The sequence below is a fragment of the Homo sapiens genome, chromosome 2, assembly GCF_000001405.40.
Source record: "Homo sapiens chromosome 2, GRCh38.p14 Primary Assembly".
Taxonomy (NCBI): Eukaryota; Metazoa; Chordata; class Mammalia; order Primates; family Hominidae; genus Homo; species Homo sapiens.
Genome location: NC_000002.12, coordinates 63,309,797 through 63,328,649, shown reverse-complemented (window position 1 = coordinate 63,328,649; position 18,853 = coordinate 63,309,797). Strand labels below are relative to the sequence as shown.

The 18,853-nt window shown below is 39.3% G+C and overlaps 1 protein-coding gene across 21 annotated transcripts in view, besides 2 other annotated features; it reads left to right on the top strand.

The window, feature by feature from the left end:
* The window catches only part of WDPCP (WD repeat containing planar cell polarity effector), a 721,268-nt gene that overhangs the window by 512,177 nt on the left and 190,238 nt on the right, over window positions 1-18,853 (top strand). For all 21 annotated transcript variants that reach the window (NR_148705.2, NR_148704.2, NR_122106.2 and 18 more), the window contains one exon: window positions 15,339-15,402. Coding sequence is in view for 16 of the 21 variants with exons in the window: in XM_047444629.1 (XP_047300585.1) it covers window positions 15,339-15,402 (64 nt within the window). In the remaining 5 variants the exon portion in view is untranslated. The remainder of the gene's footprint in view (window positions 1-15,338; window positions 15,403-18,853) is intronic.
* Window positions 3,985-4,560: an enhancer, noted in NCBI's record as "OCT4-NANOG hESC enhancer chr2:63551225-63551800 (GRCh37/hg19 assembly coordinates)". NCBI's record gives its function as "activates a minimal SCP1, AML or CMV promoter by ChIP-STARR-seq in primed H9 embryonic stem cells {active_cell/tissue: H9 hESC(primed)}" and the evidence as "EXISTENCE:reporter gene assay evidence [ECO:0000049][PMID:30033119]".
* Window positions 4,561-5,137: an enhancer, noted in NCBI's record as "OCT4-NANOG hESC enhancer chr2:63550648-63551224 (GRCh37/hg19 assembly coordinates)". NCBI's record gives its function as "activates a minimal SCP1, AML or CMV promoter by ChIP-STARR-seq in naive and primed H9 embryonic stem cells {active_cell/tissue: H9 hESC(naive and primed)}" and the evidence as "EXISTENCE:reporter gene assay evidence [ECO:0000049][PMID:30033119]".

Here is an 18,853-nt window from a genome sequence, read left to right as displayed (position 1 = left end):
GGGTTCTTGGTCTCACTGACTTCAAGAATGAAGCCGCGGACGCTCGCAGTGAGTGTTACAGTTCTTAAAGATGGTGTGTCCAGAATTTGTTCCTTCATGGTCTTGCTGACTTCAGGAGTTAAGCCACAGACCTTCACAGTGAGTGTTACAGCTCTTAAAGGCGGCACGTCCAGAGTTGTTTGTTCCTCCCGGTGGATTTGTGGTCTCGCGGACTTCAGGAGTGAAGCTGCAGACCTTCGCAGTAAGTGTTAACAGCTCATAAAGGCAGCGCGGACCCAAAGAGTGAGCAGCTGCAAGATTTATTGTGAAGAGCGAAAGAACAAAGCTTCCACAGTGTGGAAGGGGACCCGAGCAGGTTGCCACTGCTGGCTCGGGTGGCCTGCTTTTATTCCCTTATCTGGGCCCACCCACATCCTGCTGATTGGTCCATTTTACAGAGAGCTGACGGGTCCGTTTTGACGGAGTGCTTATTGGGGTGTTTACAAACCTTTAGCTAGACACAGAGTGCTGGTTGGTGCATTTACAATCCTTTAGCTAGACAGAAAAGTTCTCCAAGTCCCCAACCAACCCAGAAGCCCAGCTGGCTTCACCTCTCAATCCCCTCTCTAAACAGGACACCCCAATTGCTGTTGGGAATTTGGCCGATGACTGCTCTAGCTATTTCCTGCCGGATAGGGGCGAAGAAGGGACCCTGCAGTTGTAGTGTCCTTCAGAGGGGAACTCTTTAGGCCAGTGGAAGGGCCAGCGGGTTGGTCCAGGGGTCCTCAGTAGAAGTTGTTAGTCGAACTCATTTGGGGTTCCATTTGTAAGACCATCTGTAGCTTGATGGCCTCGATTCTAGAGGAAACAAATTTGACAAGGAGGTTAAAAATACAGGGCCCCGAAGGCAAGTAATAATAAGATGGCTGTCTTGGGACCTAGAAAGAGGAGAAGACGTGTTGCCCAACTCCAGAGGTTGGTTTACGAGTTTGAAAGGCGTCTGATTTCAGAAGCCTTTTCCTGTAAATGCCGGGCGATATCTCATACTGTCCCTGACTGGTTAGTATAAAAGCAACGTTCTTCCCCTAAGAATGTGCAAAGTCCTCCTTTCTCAGCAGTGAGGAAGTCTAGGCCTCGGGGGTTTTGGAGAGTCACTGCTGCCAGAGTCTATTTGGGATTGTAGAGTAAGGATAGATTTAGTTATTTCTTGCAAACTGTCTGAGAAATCCTTTGAGAGTGTGTGGTAATAGGATAATGCATGTTACACTGTTAAGTTTTAGCAAACTTTAGTTGAAAACCTTTTAAGTTTGGGATTTTAATTTTTCTTTGATATTAATAAAACCTCATTCAGTCCATATTAACTTAGAATTGGTATAGATGGCTCCTTCCTGATTCTGTAAGTACTTTAAGATTTGGCTGAGTGCAAACAACTCGCAGGTTTGAGCAGATCAATTATTAGGCAATTTTCCTAAGTCTGCTTCTACAAGAGTTTCCTTATCACTTACTGAATACCCATTGTGTCTTTTTCCCTTAATCGCCTGGGAGGAACCATCTATTGTCCTGTCCTGAAGGGAGTTCTGCCCAGATTTGGTCAGAACTTTGTATGGTAATTAATTAAGATTTAGATCCCCTGTTAGGAAACCTGTTAGGTTAAGGATTTTTGATAGGAAGGCTATGGGTTGTCAGTGGCCTCAGTGCTTTCAGGCTACACCCTTGTTCACACTGACAACAAGGTGGTATTGGAGTGTTGTTACAGGGTTACAGAGAAGACCTTCAATTATCAATTAGAGGTTTTAAATTTACCTGGCTTTTAAAGGAATAGGGTACACTGTTTTTTCTTTACTACTTCCATCTCTCTTTCTCTTTGACATCTTCGTCTCTCTTTCTGACTCCCTCTTTGTCTGTCTCTTCCTCTCTCTCTCTGACTTTCTTCTGTTCCTTCCTCTCTCTCTCTGACTTTCTGTCTGTCTCCTTCTCTTTGACTTCCTATCTTTCTCTCTCTCTGTCTCTCTGTCACTTCCTCTCCCTCTCTCTCTGTCTCTCTGTCTCTTCCTCTCTCTGTCTCTTTCTCTCTTTCCTTCTTTGACTTTGTCTCTTTCTTTCTTTCTGACTCCCTCATTGTCTCTCCCTACCCCTCTCTGTCTCTTTCTCTCTTTCCTTTCTGCTGGTCTTTCCCTTTCCCAGTTCTAAGGCTCAGGTAAGTGCCACTAGTTCTGCTAACTGGGCGCTGGTCCCTCGGGGAAGAGGCTTACTTTCAAGTACAGTTACATCACTAACTATGGTATAACCTGCCCTTTGCATCCCACTCTCCACAAACGAACCTCCATCAACATATAGGTTAAGGTCAGGATTAGCCAAGGGGACCTCCAAGAGATCATCTCGGGCGGCATAAGTCTGGACTATAATTTGTTGGCAGTCATGCTCGATTGGTTCCTCATCCTCTGGGAGAAAAGTGGCAGGGTTGAGGGCCACGAACTTATGTATTTGAAGCACCAGTCGCTCAAGGAGTAGCGCCTGTTATCTAAGTAGGCGGTTGTCCGATAGCCATAAACTTTTTTTAGCACCTAGTACGCCATTTACATCATGAGTTGTCCAGACAGTGAGATCCTTTCCTTGTATTATTTTGATAGCCTCTGACACTAAGACAGCCACCGCTGCAACTACCTGTAAACAGTGAGGTCAACCTTTTGCTACTACATCAATTTCCTTACTTAGGTATGCCACTGGTTGTGGGGTTGTCCCACGAGTCTGAGTAAGGACTCCAAGAGCTATCCGTGCTCTCTCTCTGACATATAAAGAGAAGTTTTGTCCTGTGGGAAGGCTTAAAGCTGGAGCTTCAGTTTGTTCCTTCCACTGCCCAGACTTCAGGGTTGATTTTCTTTTCAAGTAAGGGGCAACAAATGGGTAACTTGTTCCCCATATTCGTGTAGCTAATAGCTCCAGCTTTGGCTAATATATCCCTCCCTAATAAGGGTATGGGACTTTCAGGCATAACAAGAAAGGCATGTGAAAAGAGCAAAGTCTATCAATTACAACTGAGGAGGTGGGAGAAATACCTGGTTACAGGCTGTCCCAGGATTTCTCGGACGGTAACGGACCTTGAGGACAGTCATCTGGGACAGAAGGTTAACACTGAGAAGGCCACACCAGTGTCCAGGAGGAAGTCAATTTTCTGGCCCTCAATGGTTAACCATACCTGGGGCTCAGTGAGGGTGATGACATGAGCTGGCGCTTTCCCGAGGCACCCTCAGTCCTATTGTTGGATCATCTGGTTGGGGGCTTTTTTCTGGCCCAGAGAACCATTGCACTCTGGGACAGTGTGCCTTCCAGTGATTGCCTCAGCATAGCGGACATGGACGAGGGGGTGGCTTGTTTCTCATTGGGCAATCTTTTTTAAAGTGTCCTTGTAAACCACACTGATAACAAGCCCTACCAGATGATTGGCCTGCTCCATTTTCTGTTCTCTCTGAACCACCAAGGTTTGTTTGTCTGAGGGCCATGACAAAGGCTGCAGCATTTCTCTGATCTTGCTTTTCCTTTTGGGCCTGTTCCTCTTCATCCCTATTATAGAACCCCGAGGTTGCCAGGTTTAATAATGCCTCCAGATTTTGTTTAGGGCCTGGGGCTTGCTTTTGGAGCTTTCTCCTGATATCTGCAGCTGATTGGGTAATAAACTTATCTTTTAGAATCAATTGACCCTCAAGTGATTCAGGTGATGGGAGTATATTTTCTTAAGGCCTCCTGTAGCCACTTGAGGAAAGCAGAAGGATTTTCTTCCTTTCCCTGAGTTATGGTGGACATCATTGAATAATTCATGGGCTTTTTCCTAATTCTCCTTAGTCCTTCTAGAACACAGGTCAACAGATGTTTGTGACTCCAGTCCCTATGATCTGAGTTGAGGTCCCAGTGGGGATCCATACTGGGGACAGCTTGCTGACCAGTAGGGAATTTTCCCTTTCTTTGGCTGTCATTTTATCATTTACTTGACTAAGATGCCAGGTATCTCCAAACTCTTGGGCTGCAGCTAAAGCTGCATTCTTTTCATTAAAGGCCAGGGTTTGATCTAACAAAAGCATGACATCTTTCCAAGTGAGATCGAAGGTTTCCCCTAGACCCTGTAGGACATCTATGTACCTATCAGGATCATCTGAAAACTTTCCCAGGTCTGCCTTGATCTGCTTTAAATCAGAGAGGGAGAAGGGGACATGTACCTGGGTTGGGCCAAATTCCCCTTCCCCTACAGCTTGAAGGGGACGTAACCGATAGCCCGGGGGTTTTTGTGGTCCTTTGGAGATTTCTTTGCTTATTTCCTTCTGGGCAGGGGAGATTAGAGGAGGCTTATCATTAATAGGAGGGGGAGCCATAGGGAGGCTAGGATATGGGACTAAGCTGAAAGGTCCTCCTGGGGGATGTAAATTGCAAGCTTTGCATAGTCATGTATTCTCCTTCAATGAAAAGAGTTTGGACATAAGGTATTTCACTCCATTTGCCTTCCCTCTTACAGAAAAGGTCAAGCTGCAGGATAGTATTGTAATTTATACTTCCCTCAGGTGGCCATTTTTCCCCATCAGAGAGAGAATATTGGGGCCAGGCTGTAGGGCAGAAAAAAATGAGCCACCTCTTTTTCAGGGTTTGTGGGTCAAATTGGTCCCAATGGCTTAGGATGCATTTCAAAGGTGAGCCTGTTGATGCCTGAGTGTTTCCCATCTGAAAGACAAAACCGCCTGTGGTTTTGGTTTGTTTTGTTTCTCCCCCACCCACAAACCTGCAACGGTCCCTGGACCCTGCTGATCGGAATAGTTGTGCTCCCTGACGCAGCAGCAAAAATACTAGTTTTCCTCCCAGACCACAAGGGGGACTGAGAAAGGTCGGATTTAGTGGCCCTTACCAACGCATTCTCGAAAACCTGCACCCTTGCCTGTCCTCCTAGACCACAAAGAGGACCGAGAAAAATCGGATTTAGTGGCCCTTACCGACACATTCTCGAAAACCCATTAGAGTCCTAAGCATTCACCTGTTAGTATTGGGACCTTAACCATGTCCTATAAAGATGTTATGCCCCCCAAATGAAGTGGAGGGCCATACCCTGAGGGAGGGAAGGGATGTCCAGGGTTGGAAGAGTGACACCTTTTGTCCTTACTTATATGAATAGGAAGGATACAATTTCTGAGGCTCCCCATATTCTAGCTTCAGGAATAGCTTTTGTTAGGCCTGCTAGTCTGAGGAGGGATCCTAAAATTCCAGATAGTCCCCCCTACGATGGGGCTTTGGGCAAAAATTACGTCTTTCTGATTGGTGAGCCTGGGTGCCTACAGAAGGTAACAGAATCCCAAATTTATACTAGAAATCATTCTTATAGGAGAAACTAGAAAAGCACCAGAGACAGGGAGTGGTTTTTAGAAGCAGGACTAGCCTGGAGAAGAGAGGCAAGGGGAAGTTTGTCTGGCAGGCGTTAGGACCCAGGGGGCAATGGTCAGGGTAGATAGAATAGATGGGCAAGTCTCGCTTGGGCGACATGACTTTGAGAGTTCCACTCATGGCCACAGGGTCAACCAACTTGTTGTTGGGACCCCGGAGCTGAATGGCTTTCCTCTCTGTCGACCCTGGGCTCAGTCCAGAAGTACAGGAAAAGCGGAAGCTGGTTCCAGGCAAACCAACGCTACCAACTCTGAAGAGTCAGGGATTGTTAGAAAGGCCTTTCCCAGAAAGCCTGACACCTGTGTCTTTAGTCTGGCAGCTGCGCTAGTAGCTTTTAACTGGCCGACAGGTGCCTGGTATTTAGACCCCGAATTCTAAGGAAAAATAGGAAAGAATAGCAAGCGAAAGGGGTCCGATGGTACTCACCACTTGGCAATAGGCGATAGTCTCACTTCTTGGCGATAGGCGATGGTCCCATCTGGGTCGCCAAAATGTGTCTGGAATTGGTGGGTTCTTGGTCTCGGTGACTTCAAGAATGAAGCTGTGGACCCTTGCGGTGAGTGTTACAGTTCTTAAAGATGGTGTGTCCAGAGTTTGTTCCTTCTGATGTTCAGACATGTCCAGACTTTCTTCTTCTGGTGGGTTCATGGTCTCGCTGACTTCAGGAGTGAAGCCGCAGACCTTCGCAGTGAGTGCTACAGCTCTTAAAGGTGGCACATCTGGAGGTGTTTCTTCCTCCCAGTGGGTTCATGGTCTCACTGACTTCAGGAGTGAAGCTGCAGACCTTCACGGTGAGTGTTACAGCTCATAAAGGCAGCATGGACCCAAAGAGTGAGCAGCAGCAAGATTTATTGTGAAGAGCGAAAGAACAAAGCTTCCACAGCATGGAAGGGGACCCGAGCGGGTTGCCACTGCTGGCTCAGGTGGCCTGCTTTTATTCCCTTATCTGGGCCCACCCACATCCTGCTGATTGGTCCATTTTACAGAGTGCTGATTGGTCCATTTTACAGAGAGCTGATTGGTCCATTTTGACAGAGTGATGACTGGTGCATTTACAAACCTTTAGCTAGACACAAAGTGCTGATTGGTGCATTTACAATCCTTTAGCTAGACAGAAAAGTTCTCCAAGCCCCCTACCTGTTAGCTAGACACAGAGTGCTGATTGGTGCATTTACAATTCTTTAGCTAGACAGAAAAGTTCTCCAAGTCCCCACCCAACCCAGAAACCCAGCTGGCTTCACCTCTCAGTAATAGCTTCAGTGGTGTCTACTTCCCTCCAAATTAATCAAGTTGTATACATTAAATATGTACAGCTTTTTTTGTGTCAATAATACCTCAGTAAAGTGATATGTAAAAAGAAGACAATAGAAATAAAGAAAAAGGAGCTCAAGAGAATTACATTAATTATACATACTTGAGTTTATAAAAATGTAAACATTCCTATATACAAAACAAATATGAAATCAAAACAATTTTTTAAAAAGTAAAGCAAAGTTGCCATATGGCAAAAAATACAAACTAAGCAGGGATTATTATATACTGTATAACAAGACAGAATTATGCCACAGATTATTAAACAGAACAAAGAAAGTCACTCTACAATGCTGTGGGCTACCTTTCATAATAAAAAAAAGTTATATCCGTGTACCAAATAAAATGATAGGAATCTTCGTAAAGCAGAAATTGTAGGAGATATAAGAAGAAACAGACAAAAGCAAACCAGTAGTTAATTTGCACGTAACATTTTCAGTCTAAGATGGGCCAGAATGACAAAAATGAGGAAATAAATCAGCAAAGTAACAATAAGGAGCTCTCATGTGGGTGGATACACACACACACACACACACACACACACACACACACACAGAGTGTATATATATGTCTATACACACAAAGTACATATCAAAATGTATATATATATATATATACTCTGATAATAGAGACACACTTCAGTACTTCAGACTGATATTGTTCTATAATATCAGTTACATGAATATAGAGATCATCTATTACTTTATTTGTTTAACTTTCCATTTGTTTATCTTGCTGATTGAGGTGTGCTAAAAGCAACTGTTAATATAATTGTCTTCTTTATTTCTGTCACCTTTTTTTTGTTTCATATATTTAAGACACTCACAGTCATGATTGTTGGGTCTTCCTGATGAATTGGTGTTTTTATCATTATGAAATGTCCCTCCTTTAATACTGTTTTTTAAAGTATATTATATCTGATAATTATTGCCATTCTAGCCTTTTCATATTTACATTTTTCTATTTATGTACTTTCAAACTATCTGTGTTTGTATATTTATAGTGGACTTCTTACAAACAGCATATATTTGGTTCTTGCTCTTTTATGACAGTCTTTGTCTTTTAATTGAAATGTTCAGTTCATTAACATTTAATGTAATTATGGATGTAGTTGCAATTCAGTCTGTCATTTTGTTTTTTGTTTGTACTAATTTTTACTAATTTTTGTTTCTTCACTCCTCTTTTCCTTCCTTCTTTGGATTATTTTAATATTTTCCAGATTTTTTATTTATTTGCTTTTTCAGTCATACCTACTTGCACTGTTTTTTTAGTGGTGCTGTAAGGGTTACATTTATATCCTTAGTGTTCTACAGTCCACTTAGAATTAAAATGTAGAAATCTTCATGCAGTCCACTTCATGGAAAATGTAGAAATCTTGCAATGAACTGTATCAGTTCATTTACCCACCTTACCCCATCCTTTATGCTATTGTATAACCTACATGTTACAACCCTCACAAAATGTTATAATTTTTGCTTTCAACAGACTAGTGTATATTAAATAAAGGTAATGGAGTTCTTTATATTTGCCCAGGTATTTACTGTTTCTCTTACTTTTCATTCTTTCTTGAAGATCTGCATTTCCATCTAGCATTTATTTTAGCCTAAAGAGCTTCTTTTAGTCTTTCTTACGGTGTAGTTCTACTTGTGATAAATTTTCTTGGTTTCTTCCTGCAAATGTCTTTATTACACCTTCATTTGTGAAAGAGTCTTTGCTGCATATAAAATTTTTTGTGTGTTTCTTCCTTCCAGTACTTCAAACATGTTATTCCACTGCCTTCTTGAGATTATTCTGCTATTGTTTTTTTAAATTATTAAGTTGGATGTTTAGTTTATCAATTTTTAACCTTCTTTTCAATATAAGCATGTAAGGCTATAGATTTCCCTTCAAATACCTCATTTGCTCAAGTTTTTTTATAGTATTAGCATTTATTTAAGTATTTTAAAATTTCTATTATGATTTCTTCTTTGACTAATGACTTCATTTCTAAGTACATGTGCATATATTGCTTATCTTTTTGTCAATTAATTACATTGTTGATGGATTAATTATAATGTTTAAAATGTATTGAGACATGCTTTTTTACTTACTACATAATATAATTTTGTAGATATCCCATTTGTGCTTAAGAAGAATGTGTATTCTCTGATTTAAGATTTAAAGTTCTCTGGGCCAGGCACAGTGGCCTGTAATCCCAGCACTTTGGGAGGCTGAGGCGGGTGGATCACGAGGTCAGGAGATGGAGACCATCCTGGCTAACACAGTGAAACCCCATCTCTACTAAAAATACAAAAAATTAGCCAGGCGCGGTAGTGGGCCCCTGTAGTCCCAGCTACTTGGGAGGCTGAGGCAGGAGAATGGTGTGAACCCAGGAGGTGGTTCTCTGATTTAAGTTCTGTGTATCCAATAAATATAACTTTGTAATTATGTTGTTTAAGACTCCTGTTTCTTTCTAATTTACTCAATGCTTAGACTAGCAAAAATTTAGAGATAACCCTTAGTCTCACACAGTGATGGTAGTCTGATCATTTGTTTTAATTCTATTCATGTTTTGCTTTATACATTTTTGAGCCTATTTTATTAAGTACATTCAAGTTTAGAATTTTTGTATATACAGAAGATTGAAACTAGGCCCTTTCCTTTCACTGTATACAAAAATTAACTGAAGATGGATTAGAGACTTAAATGTAAAACCTACAACTATAAAACCCTTAGAAGAAAACCTAGGAAATATTGTTCTGGACATAGGCTCTGACAAAGACATCATGACAAAGACTCCACAAGCAATTGCAACAAAAACAAAAATCGACAAATTGGAGGAGTCGCTGCACAAAGACTTGATGCTTATTTTTCCTCCATAATTTGAAGATATTTTCTGTCTTCTACCTCCCATTGTTGCCAATGAGAAGTCTAGGGTCAGTCTATTTGTAGTTCCTTTTTAGATGATATGTCTTCTCTCTGGCAGCTTTTTCTTTTTTTAAACTTTATGTATAAGTTATTCTTTTTTTCTTGCACTTTTAGGGTCAAGGGTACATCAGCCGGTTTGTTACAAGGGTAAATTGCATGTCATGGGGGTCTGGTGTACAGCTTATTTCATCACCCAGAATAACTATGCTACTAATGAGCATAGTATTCGATAGGTACTTTTTCAATTCACCCTCCTCCCACACTCCAGCCTCAAGTAGGCCTTGGTATCTACTGTTACCTTCTTTGTGTCCCTGTGTACTCAGTGTTTAGTTCCCACTTATAAGAGAGAACATGGGGTATTTGGTTTTTTGGTCCTGTATTAATTCTCTTAGGATAGTGGCCACCAACTCCACCCATGTTGCTGCAAAGGACAATCTCTTTCTTTTATATGACTGCATAGTATTCCATGGTGTATATATACCACATTTTCTTTATCCTGTCAACCACTGATGAGCATCTAGGTTGATTCCATGTCCTTCCTATTGTGAATAGTGCTGTGATGAACATACACTTCACATATCTTTATGTTAGAACAATTTATATTCCTTTGGGTATATACTCAGTAATGGGATTGCTGGGTTGAATAGTAGTTCTGTTTTAAGTTCTTTGAGAAATCTCCAAACTGCTTTCCACAGTGGCTGAACTAATTTACATTGCCAGTAGGGGTGTATAAGTGTTCTTTTTTCTCTGCACCCTTGCCAGCATCTGTTGTTTTCTGACTTTTTAATAATAGCCATTCTGACTGGTTATGAGATGGTATCTCATTGTGGTTTTGATTCACATTTCTCTAACGATTAGTGATGCTGAGGATTTTTCCATATGCTTGTTGGCTGAGTGTCTTACTTTGAGAAGTGTCTGTTCATGTCCTTTCCCTATTTTTTAATGGGGTTTTAAGTTTTTTGCCTGTTAATTTGTTTAAATTCTTTATAGATTCTGGATATTAGACCTTTGCCAAATGCATAGTTTGTGAATATTTTCTCCCATTCTGTAGGTTCTCTGTTTACTTTTTTGATAGTTTCTTTTGTTATGCAGAAGTTCTTTAGTTTAATTGGTCTTTCCATTCATGAATTTTTTGTTTTTGTTGCAGTTGCTTGTGGAGTCTCTGTCATGACATCTTTGCCAGGGCCTATGTCCATAATGATATTTCCTAGGTTTTCTTCTAAGGTTTTTATAGTTTTGGGTTTTACATTTAAGTCTGTAGTTCATCTTGAATCGATTTTTGTATACAGTGAAAGGAAGGGGCGTAGTTTCAATCATCTGTATACGACTATCCAGTTACTCCAGCACCATTTATTAAATAGGAGGTCATTTCCCCATTGCTGCTGTTGTCTATCTTGTCAAAGATCAGATGGTTGGTTGCAGGTGTTTGGCTTTATTTCTAAGTTCTCTAATCTGTTTTATTGGTTTATGTGTCTGTTTTTGTACCAGTACCATGCTGCTTAGTTTACTGTAGCTTTGTAGGAGTTCGAAGTGCATAACCTGATGCCTCCAACTTTGTTCTTTTTGCTTAGAATTGCTTTGGGTGTTCAGGCTTTTTTTGGTTCCATATAATTTTTTTTTTTTTTTGAGATGTAGTTTCACTTTTGTTGCCCAGGCTGGAGTGCAATGGTGCGATCTTGGCTCACTGCAACCTCTGCCTCCCAGATTCAAGCTATTCTTCTGCCTCAGCTTCCCAAGTAGCTGGGATTACAGGTGCCCGCCACCACGCCCAGCTAATGTTTTGTATTGTTTTTTTAAGTAGTGCTGGGATTACAGGTATGAGCCACCATGCCTGGCCTGGTTCCATATAAATCTAAGGTTTTTCTAGTTCTGTGAAAAATGTCAGTAGTAGTTGGATAGGAATAACATTGAATCTGTAGTATGGCCATTTTAACGGTATTGATTCTTATTATCCATGAGCATGAAATGGTTTTCCAATTGTTTATGTCATCTCTAATTTCTTTCCACAGTGTTTTGTAATTCTCATTGTAGAGATCTTTCACCTCCCTGGTTAGCTGTATTCCTGCTTATTTTATTCTTTTTGTGGCTATTGTGAATGGAATTGCATTCTTGATTTGGCTCTCAGCTTGGACATTATTGGTGTATAGAAATGCAACTCATTTTGCACTAATTTTGTATCCTGCAACTTTGCCAAAGCTGTGTATCAGATCTAGGAGTCTTTGGGCAGAGACTATGGGATTTTGTAGGTATAGAATCTTATCATCTGAGAAGGGAGATAGTTTGACTTCCTCTCTTCCTATTTATTAATAGATGCCTTTTATTTCTTTTCTGGAAGCTTTTAGTTTTTTTTCTTTTATTTTTATTTATTTATTTATTTATTTTGAGGCAGAGACTCACTCTCTTGCCCAGGCTGGAATGCAGTGGCACAATCTCAGCTCACTGCAACCTCTGCCTCCCAGGTTCAAGTAATCCTTGTGCCTCAGCCTCCTGAGTAGCTGGGAATACAGGCACCCACCACCATATCTGGCTCAGTTTTGTATTTTTAGTAGAGGTGGGGTTTTACTATGTTGCCCAGGCTGGTCTTGAACTTTTAGCCTCAAGTGATAAAATCCATCTCGGCCTCCCAGAGTGCTGGGATTATAGGCGCCCGGCCTTATTTTCTTTTTTTGTTTAGTTCTGCATTTCCATTACAAATGTGGATATTTTAAATTTCCTTTTTATATCTCCTGCCTGATATACATTGTTTCTTTTGTGTTGATTGTCTCATATCATTTATCATCTCTGGAAATTCTTAGCCATTAACTTAATTCCCTGTGTAGTCATATTAGACTTTTTCATTTTCTGTAATTTGCTCAGCCTCTCTTTATATTTTTAATCTCTTTTTCCTCTGTGTAACATTCTGTGTAATTCCTGACTTATACATAATTTATGCACTTTTATTTCACCAATTCTTTCTTCAAATGTGTCAAATTGACTGAGCACAGTGGCTCACACCTGTAGTCCCAGCATTTTGGGAGGCTGAGGCAGGAAGATCACTCGAGCTCATGGATTCAAAACCAGCCTGGGCAACATAATGAGACCTCATTTCTACAAAAAAAAAAAAGTATTACCCCAGAACGTGGCACATGCTTGTAGTCACAGCTGCTTAGGAGACTCAAGGTCTTCTAAGACACTCGAGGTACTTATGAGGTTGATGTTACAGTGAGCTATAATCACGCTGCTGTACTCCAGCTTGGGTAACAGAGCAAGACCCAGTCCAAAACAAAAAAAAAATCAAATTATTTAACTTCAATAATTAGATTTTTATTTCTAAAAGTTCTGTTTTATTCTTTAAAATAGTAACCTGATTATTCTTTATTGTATCATATTACATGCTTATTTTCATGACTCCCTCATTTCTTTAAATATTTTATATTGAATTATTTTATATGCCTACTTTAATAATTCAATTATTTGAAATCCATGGAGATCTAAATTTGTTATTTTTCTAATTTTTAGTTATAGTGCCTTGTTTTCTTGTGTTTTTGATTATCTTTATGAACTCATACTTGTTTGATTTTAATTTATGTTAATTTTATGTTAAAAAATCATTGAGGGCCTCTATTAGGCTTTAATCCAGACATGAATTTGTTTGTTTCTGTGAAAGTTAGGGGCACTACTAACCTGGGTCTCTTTTAGCCCCTGGCTTAATCAGAATTCTTGGGTTTAGCTCTTTTACTTGCCTTAATCAACAGTCTGAGCTTATCACCTTTAACTTGAGTTTTGTTCAGGCTTATCTCCTAAGGGTGATGGCCCTGTAAGTAGTTCTGCCCTGTTTTTCCCCCTTATTTGTTGTCTGCTGAGTGATCCTTACTCTGATTTCTATCAAGGGATTTTGTTTAATTGGTTATTTTTTTATGGAGGATATGGCCCCCTTGGTATTTACTTACTTTTCATAGTCCTATGATTTACTTTAACTAAGTATTTTATAAACAAGCTAGTTGGGAGTCTCCTTTTGTTATTTCTGTTTCACCATGCTGCCAGATGCCAATGTCAGTTTTTTAATTTTACCATGTATCATTACCATCTACTGTCTATCATTACCTCTTACCTAGAAAGAAGAGCACATCCTAACTTATCCCCCTTAATTTCACTCTCTCCAATTTCAGTTTGCCCTCTATGATTGCCAAATTGATGTTTCAGTGAACATGTTAGACATGTTAACTTTGAGGTGCCTTGAAATAATAATTTGGAGATCAGGGAAGAGATGGATCCCGGAGGTGTAGATTTGTAAGCCACTGATAATTGATAAGCAATGCCCTGGGTGTGGTAAGGTTATTGAGGAGATTGGAGACAGTGGGTAGAAATAAAAGAGGATCATAGAATACTGATTTCATGGGGAGGCAGAGAAAAATGAACTAGCAAAGGAGACTAAGAACACATCTAAGGAAGGGAAAACAAAAAATTAAGGAAAGCAGGGCAAGCCAAGGTAGGAGAGGGTTTCAAGGAAGGGCAATTTATAGAATTAGATGGGACCAAAGGGGCACAAAAGGTAAGAATTTACCTTTAAGTTTGATCCTAAGAAGATGGATGACAATGGCTCAGGCCTATAATCCCAGCACTTTTGGGACGCTGAAGTGGGTGGTTTGCTTGAGCCCATGAATTTGAGACCAGCCTGGGCAACATGGCAAAAACTCCATCTCTACAAAAAATACAAAAAATTAGCTGGGCATAGTGGCGTGCACCTGTAGTCCCAGCTACTTGGCGGGGCTGAAGTGGGAAGATCATCTGAGCCCAGGAGGTCAAGGCGATGATTGCACCACTGTACTCCAGCCTGGGTGACAGAGTGAGACCCTGTATTAAAAAAAAAAGAAGATGGGGCCAGGCACAGTGGCTCACGCCTGTAATCGCAGCACTTTGGGAGGCTGAGGCAGGCGGATCATGAGGTCAAGAGATCAAGACCATCCTGGCCAATATGGTGAATCACCATCTCTACTAAAAATACAAAAATTAGCTGGGCATGGTGGTGCGCGCCTACTCCCAGCTATCGGGAGGCTGAGGCAGGAGAATCACTTGAATCAGGGAGGTGGAGGTTGCAGTGAGCCGAGATCATGCCCCTGCACTCCAGCCTGGTGACAGAGCGAGACTCCATCTCCAAAAAAAAAAAAATATATATATATATATATATATATATATATATATGTATGAATAATTAGTATTGCCAGATAGTTACAATGGAATGGGGACAAATGCAAAACTGCAGTGAATGCATGGACAAATAGTACAATTTGCTAATCCTCTGACCTCTTCCTTAGTATATCCCATCTCCACTGAATATATAATGAATCAATAAGCTTCCTAGTACAAGACACTCTTCATTCACAAAATAAACACAATTGCCTTTTGATTTCTATAGCTGAGAGGGATTCAGGCAAATATAGGAGGTACTAACAAGAAGAGGCAACGTATTTTCTAAGCTATCATAGTCAGCAGTGTCTACTTGGGGTTATGTTTATTCTTGAAAGTTATACTTAAGGCCTCCACAGGCTCTGCGCCTCAGCCCCTCCTAAATGTAATAACTTTGCACATATGGAAGATCCTAGTAGGCCAAATCCCTTCTGTTTGAAAATATTTTTCCAATCAGAAGGACAAAAACAGTATCACAGATATATGTTAAATAAACAGCTCTTTTCTTTTATATATTCTTGTTCACAACTAACATAATATTTTTTTCTGCCTTGTAGGTACCAGAGGTTTGAAAAGGCATTTCTCCTAGCTGTTGACGTTGGTGCTCGTGACCTCTTTATGGTGAGTCATTTTCAGAGATGATTTTGTGCCTTCAGTTCTAAGGCTAAGTTGTCAGCTTTTGTGACCATAAAAAGGATTACTGTCATTTTGCAGCCTTAGACACAGGGTGGGAAAGCATTATTCCATCTTGACTTGCAGGTTTGCTTTCGTGAAACTGGTCAATAACCATCTAATATCTTTTGATTTGTTGACATTTTGTTTGCTGGCTCCAATGGATCTTTTGTGTTTTCTAAGAATTTATAATTCTTGAACTTTTCTCCTCATGTACCTTGATGCAAGGGGATGACACCTATCTATCTAGTAAGCTTAAATGTCTTTCTAATCCATTCTCTGAAGAAAAGCTATAGAATCCAGGACATAGGGCAAAAGATGTCCCACAGATCTCGAATGTGCTCAGTTTGTCCCTTATATTTTAGTGTAGAGTAACAAAGCAGGAATGTTCTCACATGTATTTTTTAAGTAACCATAGTACAAAGTGGATCCAAGAGGTTAAATTCATGTACACTCTGGCCCTCCCATTTATTAGCTACAGAACAGTAAAACTGACCAGTTTCTTACAAATCCTTGTACTCTGTATCAGGTTTCTGTTTTATAAGATCTTGCACTACAGTGCCACATTGAGATCAAATGAACAAAGGAAAAGTCCTTTCCTCGTTTCCCAGCATATTCTGTTAGACAGCAATTTCATTGTTTCCACAGAAACAACAGAGCAAAAGGTTCTTGAAAGAAGAAATACTTCTAGAAGGTGCTTTTGCCTGAATCTTTTGCACAATTAAGACATTTTGTAGTTTAAATTAAGCTTTGATGTTTCAGATATTCTGTTATACAGCAATTTCATTGTTGTCACAGAAACAATAAATCAAAAGCCTCTTGAAAGCCAGAAATACTTCTGGAAGGTGCTTTTCCTGAATCTTTTGCACAGTGAAGACATTTTGTAGTTTAAATGAAGCTTTGATGTTTTAGATAATATTATGGATTCATCACATTAGATCAATCATCTTTGGATTGAGTTTGATATTTAAATTCTAAATGTATGTCATTCAATTAATTATACTATTATTGATCATAAAAAATCTAATTTCAAAAGTGTGAACATTCTATTGTTCGTCATCTGCATTTTGTGATGTCTGATTGAGCAGGCATATGACATTGAGGGAAGATTTTATTATTTTCATCAAAATCTATACATGCAGAGATCACAGTGTCAGAAAATTAATTACACTTTTTAGATTTTCCAGCCCCATTGACTTTTTTCCTTATCTCCACCTTTTCACCTTTGCCACTTACCCCAATAATGGTAGATTTTCCCCACATTTCTTTATTTTTTATGTCTATAGTTTCAGTCTTTTTTCTAGCCAAGATAAGAACTAAAGAGATGAATATTTAAATGTTTGGTGCCTGGTAAAATTTCTCTCTCAAGGTATTATGTTCTTTAATTTCTAATGTTGTAATAATTAATAGAAACATCACGAAAGGCACCTTCTAAACTTTTCTCAAATCATATCTCTTTCAGCTTTCGGTCTCAGTTTAGCCAATAACAATATAAAGTGTCCATGTTAGTTCAAATCACCTTCATCCAGTAGCCTTTCTACTGATAGGCTAATCCTAAACCATGATGATTTTTACACATAAAAGATGAAAATCTAAAATAAGGGAAGTATAGAAGTGGTTTTACTGTCCTTTTTATTTGCAAAAGCAAACAGTCATTATTCAGAATGCTGCATTGTTACTCTTCATACATAACTTTATTGATAGCCCAAGGTCTGCTTTAAAGAAGCTCAAAATATTGAGAGCATTAAAGCCTCAGAGTTCTATTTAAGCTCATGAATCTACTATATACATTTAAGGTTCCATGTAGAAATTGCCTAAAAGGATTTATTTTTTTAATAGATTCATTCTTACTATCTAAATTTCATCTAGCCAGAGGTCTATAGCCTATAGATTGAAAAATGTTACCTCTTTTGAAATTAAAAGCTTGTAGATTAAACAGGATTATTCCTATTTATACATGATTTTCTACCCTTGAGATATCTCTTGCTAAAAGACTAAAAATAATAACATATGAATCACAATGGGATCACACAAAGGTGTATCAGTTAACCTGAAAATAGTCCTTTTTGCATTAGCATATTATCAGTGGTAAAAAGTTACAAGGCATACAACATGATAAGAAAGTTGATATGGCTGGAAAGCAGAGAGACTAAAGGGGCTTACATTCCATATAAAGGAGTTAGAATTTATCTCAAAAGCAATAGGAAGTTACTAAATCATTTTAAATAGAAGAGTGATATTATCAGTATTTTGGCTAGGAAACTTTTCCTCTAAAGGGCCAGGTAGCAAATAGTTTAGGCTTGCTTGCTTGCTTGCTTTATTGATTCATTCATTGATTGAGACAGGGTCTTGGTTTTTCACTTAGGTTGGAATGCAGTGGTGTGATCATAGCTCACTATAACCTTGAACTCCTGGGCTCAAGCAATCCTCCTATCTTAGCCTCCAAAGGAGCTAAGACTACAGGCATGTGCCACCATGCTTGGCTTAGTTTTGCAAATATTTTAGACTTTTTACAAGCCATACGGGCTCTGTTGCATCTACTTAATTCTGCCATTATAGAGCAAAAGCAGGCATAGTCAATAAATACAGAAATAAGTTTGGCTGTGTTCCAATAAAAGTTCATATATGGACACTGAAATTTGATGTCACATAAAATTGTTCCTGTGATTTTTTTTTTTCCAAAAACCATTCTTAGCTTGGGTTAGACTTGGATGGCAGGTCACAGTTTGCTGATTCCTTGTTTAGAGTATGATCACTTAAGGCTGCATTGTAGAAAATAAACTGAAACGAGACAAGGCTCCTAGGTACAAGTGTGAAGTAAACAAAGAGGTGGGTTCTTTCAGGCCCATTTCCTCAGGTCCAGCAACCTCATAGTAATTTTCTTATATTTAAGGCCTGTTGATTCAACTCCAAGCTCTCTCAGTTATTAGCTGCATAATTTTGTATAATTTACCTAACTTTGCTTGCTTTCATTTTATTACCTGTGGTGATGATAATGCATAAATCCCTAGTGTGCTTTAAGTATCAAATGAATTAATAATATATATGAAGTGCCTGGCATATTGTAATGACTTAAGAACTACAGTTCTAGTATATATTTTATATTACTCACTTTTCAAATATTTAGGTAGTACTTCACTTTACATTGTTTATACATTTGTCAGATTAACAATGCTGGAATTTAGGTAGCTATTGATATTTGGGTGTTTAAAAACAAGTAGTCTCTACCTGAAAGATTGGAATTGAATCAAGGCAGCCTAGTTTCAGAGTACATACTCTGTGTTTTCATTTTTATTTGTCTCTAAGGGAAATTTTCTAATTTCCCTTGTGGTTTCTTTTTTAATCCATTAGTTGTCTGAGTGTGTTATTTACATGATTTCCAGAAACTGGGGTTTTTTTT